Genomic DNA, 15484 nt, shown 5'->3' with positions numbered 1-15484 from the left:
AGGAAAGGAGGGAGGGAGAGAGAGAAGATGGAAAGAAGGAAGGGAGCGAGGAAGAAAAGAAACAAGAAAGGAAGGAAGAAGAAAAGAAAAGAAAGAGAGAAGAAAGAAAAAGAAAGAGAGCGACAGAAAGAGAGAGAGAGAGAAAGACAGACAAAGGAGGGAGAAAGGGAGGGACAAAGAGAAGAAGGAAGGAAAGAAAGAAGGAACCAAGGAAGAAAGGAAAGAAGAAAGGAAGGAAGGAGAAAAAAGAAAAAAGAAGGAAGGAAGGAAGAAAGGAAGCAAGAAAGAAAGAAAGGAAGGGAGGGAAAGAAAGGAGGGAGGGAGGGAGAGAAGGGAGGAAGGAAGGAAGCAAGGAGGAGGGGAGGGAGGGAAGAGAAGAGGGAGGGAGGTAAGGAAGGGAGAGAGGGAGGGAAGTAAGGAAGGGAGGGAGGGAGGGAGAAAAAAAGGAAACCAGTTTTTGTTGTTGTTTTTGAGGTGGAGTCTCGCTCTGTCACCCAGGCTAGAGTGCAGTGGCGTGATCTTGGCTCACTGCAACCTCTGTGTCCCGGGTTCAAGCGATTCTCCTGCCTCAGCCTCACGAGTAGCTGAGAGTACAGGTGCCCGCCACCACACCTGGCTGATTTTTGTATTTTTAGTAGAGACAGGGTTTCACCACGTTGGCCAGGCTGGTCTTGATCTCTTGACCTCAGGTTATCCACCCACATCATTCTCCCAAAGTGCTGGGATTACAGGCATGAGACACTGAGCCCGGCCAAAACCAGTTATTTTTTTCAGCCACTTTGCAACCCATTTTGAGAATATACTGGCAATTACACTGTTTTTAATAATGTTGTAGCCACACATGGATAAACTGGTTCATGGTTTACTTACAGTCCGAGTCCCAGGCAACTGTGGATACCTTTACAAAGTTTAAACCCTCTCCATATCCCAAGTGGTATTTTTACTTTTGCACTGGAGCATATAAGAAAAGGTAGGATATGGCAGAATTGCATAAGAATCACCTGGGCGTTTGCTCAAAATTCCGACTCCAAGGCCTCACTGAAGATCACCAGAATCTGAGAGACCTCCAGGTGTAGGCTGCACTATCACTGCCTCCTGAAAGGTCCTGTGGGGTGAGGATGGTGATTAAAAACTGGAGTCCTCAGCGGGACAGCACTAACCTGCCTCCAGTGTAGCTAGTTAACATCTGTAGATTTCACTTTCTTCTAACTCTACGAAGACAAGACCCCAAGTTCCTGTTATACAGAGAAAGTTGTGATTTTGTATATATTTTATTCATTTTGCTTAAAATCCTAAAATCTGACAAAAGGAAACAGGAAATATTTTATTATGGCCTACTCCAATTAATCTAAAGTGGGTTTCAGCTTGATTAAGATAACTTGGAGAGTTGGTTAAATCTTTGTCTTGCCTGAGTAACTTGCATATGTATATTTTCTAAACTTTTGGACATGAATTTCAAGTAGCAAATTCTATTCATCTTAATGGATTCTTTTCTTGGAAGATGTCAGTGGTTCTTCAGAACATTCCACACGAACTCTGTGTCCAAATCATTAACAGCAGTTTTTACTATGGGCACATAAGACAGAAATAAATCTGTTTTAATTACCTGTTTGGATTCTGATACCACGGCTGTTTGCCAAACCTTACTGATACTTCTTGTATTACCTCTTTGAACATATCTGGTGTAGAAACTGGTGTATCTCTTTTGCAATCTCTATAGGATACTATGCACGAATCTACAGTAATGATAGGTACTGCGTCATTTTTGTGGAGTCTGTCTGGTGAAGAAAGTGTCCTTGGAGCCGGTTTTATTTTCTTTGTCACTAGATGTCACTGCATACACAAGTGTGCTACTGTCGCCCAGGGTAATCTGAGCCCTGATTGCTGGGAAAGAGGCAAAATAGATTCTGGAAGCCTTCACTGTGATCCTACTTGGAAGGTATCTGCACTTTGGATCTCTTTGAGGCTTTCTCACAATCTCATTTAATTAGGCTAATCCTCCCTAATACTTTGTCATTTTACAGATTGTGTGAAATCTAATTTAAATATGTGCAAATCTTTTGCTATTCAACGGGACCTTTGCATGGTGAAGCCAAATGTGGTAAACGTATCTTTATTCAATGTTTCTTTCTGGTTTGGAATTATAAACAGAATGTAAATTGACTACTTATATGCTACCTCTAATTCAAGGGTATATCCTGTTAAAACACCAATTTGTTCTCAATCAGAATGAAATACTCAATAAGTACTTAAAATTGCCTGCTTGCTAACCAATCGCATTACATATCTGCTTCAAGCTATTTAATAAAAAAAAGCTTCAAGTAAAACTTGCAGTCCTTCTATCTCCAATGTTCTTGCAAATTCCATGCTTATATTTGCATCTATTGGGGCCCGAGGTATGCTTGCTTAGGAAGAGGACCCTTATCCATGATTTTTCCTGGCCTGGTTAGCTGTGTTTGCAATATGTGCTTGAGAGATTAATTCAGGTTGATACTACAGTGTTCTAGAGAGGCACATTTACATCTTCACTTTTTATTCTTAGCCTCCAAAAGGATTTGTGACAATCTTTTCATGAAGAAAATCCTTCCGGGTCAGTAGTGGAAGTTCACCTCCATATTTTTATTCACCCAGATACCATGGAAACAGCAGTTTTACCTAAGACAATTAGCATTTAGAATTCTCCAACTCTCTTCTTAATCTGCAGGACCAGACATGAGCAGATATTACTGGATCTTGGACAAGTGGGTCTCTAAGGTAAGGCCTTGAACCCTTGCTTGGGATTTCATCTCATAAATAAACACAAATAAGTTATTAAAAATCCAGGTTATAATCCCAAGTGTTTGGTGTGGTTTGTGGAAAATGTGCACCTCAGTTTCCTCATTTATGAAAGGAAACTGAGAAAATCTGCCTTTATGTACCTCATGATGTTGTTAGGAAAATCAAACAAGATAATAGGTTCGAAAAAAAATGAAGACCATTATATAGATTCATACATCATCTTCCTCTCTCTTGTAATTTATTTGTAACACATGAATTTAAATAGATTACAACAGTGGTGAATTCATATCACTTTCAAAAGTTATCTTCCTTTTTGAAAGTTAATATTTTAGCCAGTAATTAAACATAATTAGTGACTTTGTGATCAGATGTTCATTTTCTTCCACTTAGCCAACGGGCGGCATGTGGTGAATTAAAATAGCAGGTGGAATTTTAGAACAGGTGACAGGTTCCTGAGCACCCACGAAGGTTAGATTCAGATGATGGGCGCAGCTTTTCTTTAGTATAGCAGAAACCTTGGGATGCCTGGGATGAAGACAAGGGAGAGCAGAGTAGGCAGAGAGCAACTGCCACCGTAAAGCCTGGACAAGTCTCAGAGCGATAAATCTGTTCATTTAGGGCCCAACATGAGTTTTTCTTTCTGAGAAGTATAGCCCAAGTTATGCAAATCTGTTAGATATGAAATCGCTCTTACAAAACAGCATTTGGATGAGTCCCAAGTAAACAAATCAGACCCACGCAGATCAAATTTTCATTAAAATGCATGATTTTAAGAATGGGGTGGGGGAAGGAAGCTGAGAAATCAAAGGTGACTTTAACTACATCTTAAATTCAGTTTTTGCCCCAAGTCTATGTTCTATACAGCTTTCTGTTTTTCTTTTTAAAACGCCGATCCCACCAAATAAGCTAATTGCGCTGATGACAGCACATTTGGTAAACGGTGGCCTACAGACCTCAGACGGCTCCTCTCTGCCTTAGTTCAGATTTCTGTGAGCACCACAAGGCTGAAGGGATCCTCTAATTATGGGTGGGATTAGTGCTCAATAGCCGATGTGTTGCTCTTCGTGGCTTGCAGCCCTCGTGGTTTCTCTGCTCCTTATGGTCACTGTGGCCACCTAGAAATTCTTTTCAGGAGCATAATAACCGGATCAGCTGCTGCAGGCTGGAGCCCGGCGGAACAAAGGGAGGCGGAGGGTGCTCCCACCGGCCTCTGCCTGCTCACAGATCCCAGCGGGCACCCCCGGGGTCACAGCAGACAAAACCAGAGTCCAGCCCCATTTGATAGGGCTCCATCCCACACGACCCACTGCCCCTACTTAAGGTCTGGGGGATAGGCTCCAACAGCGTGCACTATTTGCCAACAAAAGTACTAGCAGTGGAAAGAAATACACACCCAGGCACTACAACACACAGGAAGACTCCTCTTGTTCAGTTTTCCCTTTCAGCTATTACTCCCTGGAAATCTTGAAGATAGCTGTGAGAAGTTTATTACTAAGCATCAGTTTTTAATATTAATCTTGTACCAGGATCATTTTAATAATCATTAACGAGGAAACAGGAGGTGGTGGGCATTTATTTTATTGTCAAGTGAGGCAGTTTCTTGTTCTGTTCATCATTCTTGAAGCTTCTCTTGCACCACCCGTTCCCTGATGCCACAGTGTGGAGAGGTTTTCCCTAAGCAGCATCTGGTCCCCTTGGAGGATTCCACAGGCTTTTTGTCTCTTTCAGGTTTTCAATAGTGGCCTCTGGGGGCGCCGGGGGGAGGAACCATCTGGCCAGGCGTCACCTGGCCAGTTGGGCCTGCCTGGCCTCACGCTGCTCAGCATTCCTCTGCATCAAATGGCTCAGTGCCTGCCGGGGACCTGGTCAAGTGCTGGACAATGGGCCACAGAGCTTAGCACTGAGCCAAGAATGTAGTGTTAATAAGAACACTTTTTATTCACAATAAGGACAGATAATATAGTTTGAGAATGTGGGATACTAAGCAACAAAATTGGGTTTCAATGTTGATTCATTTATCTCCTAGCTGCGTGGCCTTAGGTGACTTACTTCAGAGTTGTGCTTCTGCAAAAGAAGAAAAATAATAACAACTGGATTGTTGTGAGGTATTAATGAGACTACCCAGATATAAAGGTATCACTTCTATCAGGCAGGAAAGAAAGGGGACATTTTAATGGGTGAATCAAGGATTGTTTAGTAACAGGACTTTTTACAAAGGTGCAGGTGTGGTTTAAGAAAAGCAAGAGGGGATTGTGTAGTATCCCAGGGCTCTCGACATCCCAGAGTGGTTAGCGTGCCAGGGCAGAAGGGGCAACATCAGAGAGCAGTTACTGGAAACCAGATATGGAGTTGCAGGGGGAAGGACACCCTGACACAAGCTGTGGGCTTCCTCAGGGTGCAGCTAAAGCAGGGTAAGAGGAGAGGTGGGGCGGGGGAGAGCAATACTCTGAGAACCCATCCCAGGACCTCACTCTCCTCCCACTCTCCGAATCTCCTGCTGGTGCCACTCATCACCTGAACTACGTAGCAGCCCCGCCCACATCCCCTTGTCATTCACATAAATAGGGAAGGCTTTTTACTCTGAGGCATTTGGCCTGAGGGTTTTTTGTTTTTTGTTTTTTGTTTTTCTAGCAGACAAGCATGTTTGGCCCATGTGCACAGCAAATGCATCAGAAAGCTGATGTACCTGAAACCCATAACTCATACACGTTAGTGAAGAAATGAAGAAATAGCAGCTTCCTCACCCTGCACCATCTCCCTGAGTTCCAGCAGGATCCTCAACAGTTGCCCACAATGAGAACTTGCTTGATTACACACTCATTATTGGATTTAGTCCCTTCCCTGTCTCACTTTGCTGCTTCTCTGTTGGTGCCTCCTGGGATTATCCCCGAAGTAAATCATACACACTACAGTCCTTATCACAGGGCCTGCTTCTGGGAGAACCTACTGAAGACAAAACCCGCCGGCATAGTCCATGTGGGTCAGCCTCCCATGGCAGAGAACAAGTGAAGAGAGGGTGCCTGGTCTGCTTCACACACTTCAGCTAGTAGTGTAAGCCTGGCAATAACAATTGTACAGTCGTTTCTTGATTGTGTTCCTCTTTCACAACACTGCACAGTCAGCCACCCCATTCCCTGAGGTTGACTTCTTGTGTTTAACTTTTTGACTTACTGGTATCTACTGGGCCTTGGCACAGCATTATATATATGTGTAGCATTATATATATGTGTGTGTGGCTTCTGTAAGGAATAGATAGGAACCCATTCTAGGTAAGATGTGGGGTGAGTGGGGGGTAGGAAATGGTAGAGTTGTAAAAAAGTAAAATATTAATAAAAGTTGGATGGCGTGTCTAATAGAAAACAAAACCTTAGAACTTGAATGAACACATGTACATTTCAAACCATCAGTTAACAATTGAGAGAGGGCTGGGAGGGTGAGGTCAAGAGAAAAAGGAAGCCTACTAAGCCTCCCTTAAATTAAAATATATAGGCAGTAAATCCTCCCACCAATACAAGAGGCCAGATCTGCTGTAAAAACTAGAACCAGGTATCCACATGAAGTGAAATCAAACCTGATTTATTGTAGCACATCTGAACACTTCAGGTCCCAGTAAAATCTCAGCATATTGTATTAGAGTTAAAACGGATTAGTAAAGGATGAGAAGGGCTTCAATAAATTATTTATTAGAACACTAGTAACTTGAGGGCCTATAATGGGGACTGGCATGTAGTTGGTACTTAGTAAATATTTAATGTATGGATTGATAGATAGATGATTGGTTGAATAGACAGGTTAGGATAGCAGTATAAAACCAAAAGGAACTTAACCGTACTCATCCATAATCTTCTTTGTCCAAAACAATCTTAACACTTTTCTCATAGTGTGTGTGTGTGTAAGATATATATATATGCACATACATAGACACACACGTATATTACATAATATTAATATAAAGTTGTTCCATTGGCCAGAGCAAGCCACATGGATAAGCCCAGTGTTAATGTAGGAGGGTGCAACAGAGTATTTTACAAGGAAGCATTCATCGATTAAAGCCATGATTACACCAAGAGAGGAGTCCCTCCTTTCTCCTGTGCAGTGAAGACTTCTGAGGCCTGAACCTACCACCTCAGGGTTCTTCACCTCCTGAAAGGCAGGATGAGTTTCATCCTGAAGGAGGTCTGGATGGAGTGTCCAAATGATAAGTGAATTTCTGGAAAACTAACCCATACCTCCTGAAATAGAATTTCCAAGAAAGAGCCTCAAAATCTCTATTTTAATTAAGCATAGACAGGTGAGGGAGCAGGTACGTATGCTTCTACAGGTTTCCATTTCAATACGGGAATTAGGCCCAGTGATTTTGAGGCTGATTACAAGTGTCCCTTATCTGTGTGATCACTTAGTGTTGTTAACTGGCATGTCTTTTACAGGAACATCAAAGACCCTGAGAAGCCAAAAGTTATGAAATGCATCAGCAGTGGGTTGAAGACAAGACCTCTCCTTTTCCTGCTGACATTTCTTCCATGAGCAGTACCCAGACAGCCGACAGAAAGAGCCCAGGAGGTAACTGGGGACATGAGATGAAAACTCAAGATGCAAGGGTATCCCATCTTTTGGCTTCCTTGGGCCACATTGGAAGAAGAAGAATTATCTTGGGCCATGCAGGAAATACACTAACAATAACTGATGAGCTAAAAAAAATCACCAAAAAATCTGATAATGTTTTAAGAAAGTTTACAAATTTGTGTTAGGCCACATTCAAAGCAATCCTGGGCTGCCTGTGGCCTATGGGCCACGGGCTGGACACGCTTGCAAGGGAGAGGACAGATAAAGATACGTATGAGAGCATCCTCCTTAGAGAAAGGTCAGTGTTGAAGTCATAGGGTAAGGGAACTCTTTCAAAAGAAAGTAAAAAAAAAAAAAAAAGATAGCGAAGTAAATCATGTGAAGTCTCTACAGAGTAAGGGCCAAAGGGAGGACACAGTAGCTTAAAATCACAATATTGTTTTTGTTCCTATTTTTGTTTTTCTCATAAAGCTACAGGTCAGCTGGACAGCTCGCTCTTGGGTCCTCACAAAGCTACTGGTCAGCTGGGCAGCTCAGCTGGGTCCTCATCAATGAACCAGGGTTGGCTGATTTTAGCTGGGCTCACTCAATTTTCTAGAGTCCACTGGTCTGTCTGCTGCAGTGTGGCTGATCTAGGACAGCCCTGGCCTTGGTGACCTGGCTCTGCTGCACGATGCAGCCATCCTCTAGCAGGCTAGCCTATCACAGCAAAACAGAAGCACAAAAGAGAGATCAGGAAAACGCATAGCTTCTTAAGGCCTAGGCCCTAAACTGGTGCATCACTTACTTCTTGGCAACATTCTGGTGGCCAAAGGAAGTCACATGTCCAACCCCAGACTCTAAAGGAGGGAAAAGAGACCCGATGCCTTAATGGGAGTAAAGTCACATTGCAAAAGGCAAGGATCCCAAAAATGTTTCAAAAAAAATTGGAGGCCATCTTTGCAATCAAAGTTAGATTATTCTCAATGGTAAAAGTTGGAACCACAATATTATTGTTACCTTCAAAGAGTACACCTAGCTGAATCCCCCAGTCAATGCAGGAATTCCCCCAAATTAAACACACACACACACACACACACATACACATAAACCCTCAAAGATTCCCACAACTTGACCATTTGACCTAGCTTTTCTCACTGGGTAAAAAAAGCAAGAGGGAAAAAAAAACCACTGCAGCTCTCTCCCACCCCTGCTGTTCAGCCTTCAGTTTATCTGGCCTCTGCTATGAGTCACAGCTGACTGAAGGGTGGGGGTGGGTTGTGAGTCATGGCCTAAAACAAAGATAGAATTTGATGGGGGTGGACGAGCAGGCGAGAGAGAAGACACGGCAAGTTCAGGCATTCTCTCAGTGTTTAGGGTGATGTCTTCTTTCCTGCAGCTGGGGAAGTTGGGCAGAGTGCCCCCGAAGGAGGAGATTCCACACAGGCCCTGTGTATCTGAGAGTTGAGTTGCTGATTTCAGAGGTGTTTGTATCATTGCTCTAAATGTGTTTCTGCTCCCCTCCCACCCAAGATGCTGGTTCAACGGACCATTTCATCCTACCATTATACAGAACCCACAGGAGCTAGTTACCTGGTCAGTTTGAGAAGTTAATATTTAAAAAGACTAATGGTTGCATATGGCTTCCACAGGAAAGAAATAATAAGCTAATGTTATCTATTGACTCAATCCCACATATATTTACATTTGACAACTTAAAAAAAAAACCTTCGGCTCAATGATAGTTTAGCTCAAGTCACTATGTTAGGATATATATTTCTTTCATCTATGACTATTTTTGTCTGCACAGTAACCTGCCTCAAGCACACAAATATTTGTGTGTCTGGCCTCAAGCAATTAACGTGTCTCCTAACATGAGATAAAGATTAAATGAAAATTCTGTCACCCTGAAATAAACCTGGAAGCAGAATTCCTGAATGTTTGCCAAATAAGGTGACTATCAGACTTAAGATGCTGAACTTTGAAATGACTGTCATAGAAACAAAGGCAAGGCATGGTTGGCGCCCATTCAACCTGGTCAATAACATCCTTAATTACAGGACATGGCATCATTTTGATTCACAGTGGAATAAAAGGCATCTATTTGTATATTTGGAAGTCTGAATGAGGATTTCCTGATGAAGTCATTTCTGTCTTACAACAGCTTCGCTTGTACCAGTAGAGTTAAAACTGGGTCACCATTTTTATGCGAGCGTATGGATACACATACATCCACACTCGAACCCCAAACACACACACACACACACACACACACTTCATTTCAGAGTCTAATTAAAACTCTATTATACATAATTTTCTTCCAGATCAATGGTGGTGTTGGATCAAAATTGTAGCTCACAAGGAAAATCCTGTAAAGGAACCATATTTTTCTGTGTTGCCTGCCAAAATGAGAACATCATTTGTTAAATAATGTGGGACACAGGTGCCCCGGATGTACTATTTAATGGAGAAAGAAAAAGAGAGAAACAATGGCTGCCAGTATCCGGGAAAAATGCGACTAGCTTCTTAAGCTTCTTCACCCAGAAATTGTTACAAATAGAAGGGAATCTGACTTTGAGCTATGAGTTGTTGCTTCCCCATGACTGAATTCCCCAAGAACTGAGTTATTACTGACCTGTGATTTGCTCATCATAAGGTCTCACTGTTAATTACTGCTCTCTGCTCCGCAGAAACTTTGAATTCCACCAAAGGGTGTGCCGAAGGCTTAGATGTTGAGAAGCGTGAATTCATCCTGCACAACAAATATCATAGAGATGGGACTGGAGCGGGGGACAAGAAGGGGGAGAATGAACAAGATGCATGTTGCAAAACCCCAAGGGGTGCTATTTGTATGGTAGCCTGAGTGAACAGCAATTTCCCTGAGGGGTGGTTGCAGCAGATACTGTGGGTACCATCTCTACATCTCTTACTCCTTACTCGTTCCTGCCTTACTCCTTCAGGGCAGAGCAGCCCAACTTACTCTTTGCCTAAGGACAGTCTCTGGTATCTAAGTCTAGGTTAGCCACTCATGGCAGGCCAGATGAATGATTGCTAGGAGTCTTGCATATACACCCGGTTTCCTTGCCACTTGGATAGGATAAAGGTGCTTCACCCCATTTTCCAGCAGTCTCCAGCAAGTCTAGGTTCCACTTGCTCACAGCAGTAGCTGATTTTGTGAAACATCCTTTCTGGGCTGCCTTCCTTTCTCTCTCTCCCTTTCCCTCTCCCATCTCTGATTTTCTTCTACTTCCCCCAATATATTAATATTATCTCAGGGATGGCTTTTGGGAACCCCAATCAAAGAAAGGAGCAAACTCAATTAAGACCCTCTGTTTTAGGTAACTTTGGGAACCTGGTGGAGCATCCTGACATTACATCCTGAACCAGAGTATGTCTCAAGATATTTTTGGATCCTGCTTTTGTGGAGACAGAATCCACAACACAGCAGAGAGTTCCTCACTCCAAGAGGTACATTCTTCTTACTGTCTGGTTCACTCCCTAGACACATGCCAGCTTGACCATCATACAGAGCAGCCCCCAGGATGAAGGCAAACTTCTATCTGGAGTCTGATCTTTCCAAGATAGGGCTGAATCAACTTAGCTCTTTTTTCTTGTGGCTCATTGCTGCTTTCCAGATTGAGAATAGCCTCAGATTTCTTTCTGGCTTCCATATACCATGCATCCTATTGCTTTGCTTATACTCTTACCCCCCAATGTCAAAATAGTCCTGAAGTGTATACCAGATCATGTCACACATATGCAGAACTGATCATGTCAGTTCAACCTTGGCTCCAAGAATAAAGCTGTAAGTCCTATAACCACAAGGCCTTAGGGTGACTTGATTCCTGAAGGCTACTCCAATATCATTTCTTCTCATTTTCCTCATCACACCTTGCCTTTCTTTGAACGTGGTGACATATTCCTGCTGCAGAATTTTGCATTGGCTGTTTCCTCTATCTGGTGCACTCTTTTTATTGAAGGTGCACTCTTACCTAACCTAACTCATGCTTTTGTGCAAATGTCACCATCTCAGACAGGCCTTTGCTAACCATCCCAGCACCCCTTTAATTTATTATTGCTTACTTTAATTGTTTCTCTTTATAGCTGTCAGCACCAACTGACATTATATGTACTCGTTTGGCTGGTTTTTGTTAGTCTTTCCATGACAATGTAAGCGCCACTGGCTCATCACTAACATCATGTGCCTGGCACACAGAAAGTACTCAATTAATATTTATATGGTTGCTGAATTAATATATGGTGTTACCTTTAAAGAGAAGCGAAGTAATCTGTAAATGCTTTTACTAAAATAATCATTTACCTGCAGACTAGGTATTTTAAAATATAGTCTATTTCCTGTTATAGATTGATTTATTTTTAAAGTATTGTCTCCTTACTCTTTAAAGATACATTTTCCCTGTTTTCCAAATTAGTTATTTTTTCTTTTTGATTATTCATTCCCAAGTTAGGAGAATGTCTAAAACTTGAGATGTACTGACTGACAAATTAACTAACAAAGAACAGAAATATATACCTCAAATTGCACTGCTATCATCTATGATCATTTATTTATTCAGCAGATATTAATTGAGCGTTTACTATATCTCAGACACCGCTGTACATATTCAGAGAATACAACAGCCAAAGATTTCTCACCTCAAAGAACTTATACAGAAAAGACACGCAATAAAATGTAAACATGATAAATGAATTATTTTATTTTATTTTATTTTATTTTTGAGACAGAGTTTTGCACTTGTTGCCCAGGCTGGAGTGCAATGGCGTGATCTCGGCTCACCGCAACCTCTGCCTCCCGGGTTCAAGCGATTCTCCTGCCTCAGCCTCCCAAGTAGCTGGGATCATAGGCATGCGCCACTATGCCCAGTTAATTTTTTGTATTTTTAGTAGAGATGGGGTTTCACCATGTTGGCCAGGTTGGTCTGAAACACCCGACCTCAGGTCATCAGCCCACCTCGGCCTCCCAAAGTGCTGGGATTACAGGCGGGAGCCACTGCACCTGACTGATAAATGAATTATTTAATGTGTTTGAAGGATACACTAGGGTGGTCAGGGGAGGCTTCACTAAGTTGACTTCTGGGCAGAGCTTGAATTAGTGAGTGTGAATGTGAAGCCATGTGCATACATGTGGGAGGAGCACTCTAGACAAAGAGCAAGGCCAAGGCAGAGGTTCTGAGGTGGGAGCATGCCAAGCTTGTTATAGAGGGCAAGCTGCAGGCTGCTGAGCAAGGAGGAAGAGGGGTAGGAGATGAAACCAAAGAAGAATCAGGAAAGCAGGCCATGTAGGCCCCTGGAAGCATTAAAAGGACCTTGATTTTCACATATGCCAATAATTGTTAAAAGGCAATAATAATAGCTGTTGCCACCACATTCGACTACATAGTATTCCCTGCTTGTTCCATATAAAGTTACTCCATGTAAATACAGACCCTGTGATCACTCTTGTTGATAATGATTTTATTGTATTATTGTTTCTCTATAAGGTGACTGCTGTTACATTTTTCTTAATTACACAGCAGTGAAACACTTCATTGATAATAAATACAAAGGAGAAAAAATAATTTATAAAATAAAAATAGAGGTTTAATAAATTGGCCCTTTAGTTCTTTTAGTATAATAACTTTCCTGAGATATGATTCACATTCAGATTGAATTCACCATTCAATTCATCTATTTAAAGTGCGCATTTCAATGGTTTATAATATACTCACAGAGTTGTGCAACTATCATCATGATCAATTTTGGAAACTTCGTCACCCCAAAAAGAAACCCTATATGGGTTTCTTAATAGTCACTCCTTATTTCTCCTCCACCCTTCCTCTCAACCCAAGCCAAGCACTATCCTATTTTCTGAACACTTCATATAAATGGAATATGTGGTCTTTGTGGCTGGTTCATCACTTACACAGTGTTTTCAAGATTCATCCATGTAGTATGTATTCGTACTTCACATATTTTTATAGATAAATAATATCCCATTTACAGATATATCATAATTTAGTTAGCTACTCATCAGTTGATGTACTATTTTTAACCAGTTTTTGTTATCATAAATAATGTTGCAGTGAACATTTATGTGCAAATGTTTGTGGGAAATATGTTTTCGTTTTTCTTTGGTATACACTTAGGAGTGGAATACATTGGCTCTTAAATCCCATGATAGGGAATACTAACATTGCCAAGATCAAATAGTAGCAATTAACTCTCTAATCTGGGTTGATGAATCAATTAACAAAGAACTACAAAACAAATATAAGAATGACTTGGAGAAAAAAAAGAGTCTCAGATTAGAAGAAATCCTCAAAATGGCCCCACATATCAGAGCTAACAGATTAGCTGATAATGACTTACATAACTAGATAGGTTTTGTGCAAAACTCTAGAGATGTCGACAAAATTATATATTAAAACATAGGTTCCACCATGGAGCTAAAGCACATAGAGGAAAAGGAAATGACGAAACACAGTTATCTTGACCACTGAAGCATATTATATTATCAAGTGAGTTTACAGAAGAGCAGATCTCACTTGTAGTGTAGGATTGAGCCAGCATCACTGACCGACGCAGCCCCAGCCACATCACTAGACAGGCAATGACCATCTCCCAGAGGGGTCACACATTGGAACAGTAGGGCCTCACAGTGAAAGATTTATTAAGTCATAGGGACCCACCAGAGCCCCTTTGTGACTGGCACTGATAGAAACAAAAGAAAAAGGAGGCTACTGGGCCCTACAATAAAGTTGAGACACAAAATTATGAGAAGTCAAAGCCCAGGGATGCTAGGAATTGTTTGCAAAGTGTGAAGCAATTTTCATCTGAAGGCTTAGTGCCAACTCCCAGCTTGATCTTAAAACCCGTTTCCCTCTGGCTAAAACTGCTTCTTTCTCTGCTCAAATCCTCCCAAAGCCCTGGGGTTTCCCACCAGCAGGAGTGCTCACAAGGTGGGCGGACTGATCCCCCAAGGGGGTTTGGGAACTGAGGAGGTGAGGGAACCTTGGCCGCAGAATTCTGACTGTCCTGCTTTGGTGGGCCTGAGTCAGACTCTAAAGTGTGTGTGGTGAGAGTTCTGTGGTAGGATCGGTCATCCCCTGCAGCTTGTATCTGACTCAGGGTGATGAGTGCCCCCTGGTCTGCTCTGAGGAGGTGAGAGCCCAGCCCCAGTTCAGCCAAGTGGAGGCAGAGGCAGTGGTAGCTTCTGGCCTCGGAGCAGGAGGGTGGGCAGTGTAGGGGAGGCAAGCAGGAGACTGCCAGGACTGACCAGGCCAGGTAACTGTTTACCCAACAAGAGCTGAGGCCCCTTTTCTCTCATCTCTGCCACTCCTACCCCCTGCTGGGATGTTTTTCCAGAGATCAACAATCTCTACACTTGAACAAAACAGCTTGTTTCTGGTCACCTGCTGAAGCACAATTTGTGTGTGCATTCTTTAAAATTGTACAGGAACTTAAAGTGCCAACATTTTCTTTTCAACGTGATCTGTAACAAAGTAAGAAGCTACAAGGCATGGGTCATAATCTCCCCATGAAAAATCTTTTGCCTTATATTAAATTCTCTTCCTTTAAAGTACAGCACCTCTCAGACTGGCCACATCCCCCTGAAATTCTCTTTGTCAACAAAGATAATGGAGAAGATACAATGGACTGTCTTTCAGAAGTGTTTCTTTTCTCTTGGATTTCTTCGTCTATGAGCTGGAGGTCATGAAATTTGAGAGCTATATAAGATCCTACATATTACCTATATGATCCTTGTATTTTCTAGGTAAGTAAAATTGAGGTGCAGGAGAGTGAAAGTGACTTGAACAAGGTCACCAGACAGCAGGCAATTGAGCTGGGCTTGGCCTTCTAGTTTTCTGCCTCCATCACAGCACAGTCCGCCAACAAGTCAGATTAAAGGAAGCCTCCTCAGAAAATATTTGTACCAGGTTTCCAAGGTTGCCTCATTCCCGCTATAGTGTTCTCATTCCATCCCTTGCCAGACCATGACGTAGCTAAGAATTACAATGACCCCATTCTGTAGTTAAATCTGATGGCTTTTTCTTAAGTGTGTTTGACTCATCAGTAGATTGTTGGAGAAGACTATTTTTTCTTGAAGAAGTGTGTATAGTTATAGCCAACTTCCCAATATCATAGCAAAAGTAGATAGGAGATA

General features: G+C 42.1%; 2 long non-coding RNA genes across 2 annotated transcripts, besides 4 other annotated features; one reads left to right on the top strand and one right to left on the bottom strand.

Annotated features, from left to right (window-relative positions):
* The first annotated feature begins 2704 nt into the window (after window positions 1-2704).
* LOC339593 (uncharacterized) lies at window positions 2705-9429 on the top strand. The gene is made up of 2 exons (NR_038972.1): window positions 2705-2754; window positions 7206-9429. It is a non-coding gene; the product is annotated as an uncharacterized LOC339593 (long non-coding RNA).
* Window positions 4341-10045, bottom strand: LOC124904960 (uncharacterized). Its single transcript, XR_007067724.1, has 2 exons — window positions 9956-10045; window positions 4341-4842 (listed from the first exon to the last, which is right to left on the bottom strand). It is a non-coding gene; the product is annotated as an uncharacterized LOC124904960 (long non-coding RNA).
* Window positions 5133-5427: a silencer, noted in NCBI's record as "tiled region #8773; K562 Repressive non-DNase unmatched - State 24:Quies". NCBI's record gives its function as "represses a minimal TATA promoter and a strong SV40 promoter by Sharpr-MPRA in K562 cells {active_cell/tissue: K562}" and the evidence as "EXISTENCE:reporter gene assay evidence [ECO:0000049][PMID:27701403]".
* Window positions 8143-9342: an enhancer, noted in NCBI's record as "BRD4-independent group 4 enhancer chr20:11247394-11248593 (GRCh37/hg19 assembly coordinates)". NCBI's record gives its function as "activates an origin of replication core promoter dependent on BRD2, P300/CBP, MED14 and CDK7 cofactors, and independent of BRD4, by STARR-seq in HCT116 cells {active_cell/tissue: HCT116}" and the evidence as "EXISTENCE:reporter gene assay evidence [ECO:0000049][PMID:35650434]".
* Window positions 13957-14457: an enhancer, noted in NCBI's record as "H3K4me1 hESC enhancer chr20:11242279-11242779 (GRCh37/hg19 assembly coordinates)". NCBI's record gives its function as "activates a minimal SCP1, AML or CMV promoter by ChIP-STARR-seq in primed H9 embryonic stem cells {active_cell/tissue: H9 hESC(primed)}" and the evidence as "EXISTENCE:reporter gene assay evidence [ECO:0000049][PMID:30033119]".
* Window positions 14458-14958: an enhancer, noted in NCBI's record as "H3K4me1 hESC enhancer chr20:11241778-11242278 (GRCh37/hg19 assembly coordinates)". NCBI's record gives its function as "activates a minimal SCP1, AML or CMV promoter by ChIP-STARR-seq in naive H9 embryonic stem cells {active_cell/tissue: H9 hESC(naive)}" and the evidence as "EXISTENCE:reporter gene assay evidence [ECO:0000049][PMID:30033119]".

This window comes from Homo sapiens, chromosome 20 (genome assembly GCF_000001405.40).
Source record: "Homo sapiens chromosome 20, GRCh38.p14 Primary Assembly".
Taxonomy (NCBI): domain Eukaryota; kingdom Metazoa; phylum Chordata; class Mammalia; order Primates; family Hominidae; genus Homo; species Homo sapiens.
The sequence above is the reverse complement of the archived record's forward strand: the minus strand, read 5'-3'. Positions and strand labels throughout refer to the sequence as shown.